General features: G+C 53.4%; 1 annotated feature.

The window, feature by feature from the left end:
- Positions 370–915: an enhancer, noted in NCBI's record as "H3K27ac-H3K4me1 hESC enhancer chr2:8532754-8533299 (GRCh37/hg19 assembly coordinates)". NCBI's record gives its function as "activates a minimal SCP1, AML or CMV promoter by ChIP-STARR-seq in primed H9 embryonic stem cells {active_cell/tissue: H9 hESC(primed)}" and the evidence as "EXISTENCE:reporter gene assay evidence [ECO:0000049][PMID:30033119]".

Genomic DNA, 2,697 nt, shown 5'->3' on the forward strand with positions numbered 1-2,697 from the left:
CAGTCTCTGCCAGCCTCCAAATGCTAGCCACGCAGCCTGCCTCGGGAATGCAGGAGGTCCACAGGCCATGCCTTCTCCAGCAGAGCCAGGAGGCCAGAAGCCTCTCAAGGGGGTGTTGAGCCAGAGGTCCGAGGCCTTGCAGATCTGACGCTCCAGAACCAGGGGTCTCCTCCCTGCCCCCCAACTATGGGAAATGGAGATGTGAGGTCCTGGAACCCAGTTCAATCCAACCTAATTCCTTCAGGCCCTACCAGGGTCCAAGCTCCAGGGCCAGGCCTGCAGGGTCAAACACAGACATTTCCTGCCCAGGAGGTTCCTGTGAGCCAGTGAGACACCCCAAGACAGCGTGGGGTGGGGCTCTGGCCAGAGCCCGCCTGGCCCTGCTCTCCTCAAGGGACTTGATCCAGCGCCTCACACTTGCCCTTTGGTGTTTTCTGGGCCTTGCACATACCTTGTCCACGTGATCAGTGCTTGAAACAGAACCAGGTCTGGGCAGGTCACACCAAGGGCTGATCAATAGGCTTCCCGAGCACGTCCATCTGTCTGCTCTGCCTTGCAAGCCACTAACAGGCCGTGAATACTGATTCAGGGTCCTGGCTCCAGGGAGATGAGCAGTCAGGAGATTGGAGGGGTAAGGATTCCCAGCTGCTCAGAGGCAGAGTGTGAAAAGGAGATGCTGAGAAGCTCCCAGGTTCCCAGTCCCTGTCACTGTCACTGGAAAGAAAATGACGCCATTGAGAAAGATGTGTGGAGGGCAACCTGAGGAGCCACTTATTTGAAGAGGTGTGAGCTGAAGGGCCTGTCACCCTCCCCAGGACCACCTGTCCTGCTACCTGAAACTCAGTGGCCCGGGCCATTGCTCTGGAATGATTCTGGAGCATAGACATCAACACATTCATGTAAGTTCTATCACAGACTCCATGAAACAAATCTCAGGTCCCAGTTACCAACTGAGGAGGAGGAGGATTAGGCTCTGGGAAACCTCCAGGGACTTCAAGGAGTACAAGACTATTCTGAGGCTAAAACAGTTGCAAATTCTAAGATGGAAACCAATACTGTGCAAATTAAAAAATGGAGGGAAAAGAAAGTTCCCTTTCTTTGCAGGCGAAACAGGAAGAGGTGCACTTTAGTTCTGAAGTGCACCTCTTTCTGTGTGCAGTCTTGTCTTCATGGGGTTTCTAATCCAAAGGAAAGCTACACTGCAGCCCAGCATAAGCAACTCATAATGAGGTAGCCGTGACTTAAATGCTAGTGGTGTCCCCGAGCAGTTCAGTCAGTGAGTGAGCAGCGTCTGTCTGAGATTCCAGGTCTTTGAGTTGACTGGACCCCGCAGGCCTAGCTCTGGAGCCTGGACCCTGGCTAGGCCTGAAGAAATTGGGTTGGATGGAACTGAGTTCCAGGATGTCATATCTCCATTCCCCATAGTGGGGGCAGCGGGGAGACAACTGGTTCTGGAGCTTCAGATCTGCAAGGCTTCAGGCCTGTGGCTTAGCACCGCCTTGAGGGGCTTCTGGCCTCCTGCCTCCGCTGGAGAAGGCACTGCCTGTGGACCTCCTGTGTCACCCTCCTTTGGGGTCCCATGATAGGTAGCCTGTATTACATGCTCAATAAATATTTGCCAATGTTTAAAAATTCTTTGAAAATACAGAAGAGCCCCAGAATAAAGGGATCTGACAAATTAGAAGTTTCTCTTCAAGAAATTCACATTTGCAAAGCAAAGAGTCTCTCCCTTGAAATAGGCTCACTGTTGTGCATGTGGAAATGCGAAGTGAAGGCTTTCTTTGGAAATCACTTTGTACGCTGCCAACACCTTCCTGTGCTTTTGCTCCAATGGCTGATCCACAGAAAAAGCAGGGTGACAACCTCATTGTTCCTGGGTGACCAGCACCTGCCTGTGGGGTGGCCTTTCTTTGAGAAGCCGTGGAATACAACGCGTGGTCCTTTGTCAGAAGCTCCAAAGGGAACCAACCTTCCAGAAACAGAAACGCTCCCACAGCTCCCTTCCCCCTCTACAGGCCAAGAGCTCAGACCACAGCCTTCTGAGGGTCTCCAGCTGCCAGGTCTGTTTGGGGGGGAAGTTGATGAGGTCAGGCAGGAGAGAAGGAGGAAGTGGGGAGCCACAGGGAAGCTGGGCTTGGGAGCTTCAGGGCCTCTTGCTGCTTCTCAGAGGTCACCTGCCCTTCACCTTCCCCCTGCCCAGCACCTGACACAAAGGACCTCCCTAAGGCTGCTCTCCCAGGCTCACGTCAATGCCAGAATGAAATGCAGAGGAAGGCTTCCTGTGCAAATGCCTCCTAGAGGGGTAACTGGCCTGAGCTCTCCCTAAGGCGCGAATAGCTGATATCTCTAAGGCAAAGATTGATGGGAGAATAGGGAACAGGCAGGTGTGGGTAGGTAGCTCACTGGGGATACAGAAGAGGCAGCACTGCCACCTCATAATTCTATCTCAGGCCAGTCCCAGGGAACCCACAGGGAAGGCCAGCTACACAGCCGCAACACCAGTGGGCAGGCCAAGCTCCCAGGTCTGGCTGTCTCGGCATGGCCAGCCGGCCCCAGAGTTCCCTTGTCATTTTGTCTTTTAGGAAGGCCACATCAAATTATCAACCCAAGGTGTTATTGTGATGAGTCCATAGCTTAGGTCCTCATTCCTCCTGCCTACCTCTACATAGCATGTGGCTTTGGGCAAGTCACACCATC

Source organism: Homo sapiens, chromosome 2 (genome assembly GCF_000001405.40).
Source record: "Homo sapiens chromosome 2, GRCh38.p14 Primary Assembly".
Classification (NCBI taxonomy): Eukaryota; Metazoa; Chordata; class Mammalia; order Primates; family Hominidae; genus Homo; species Homo sapiens.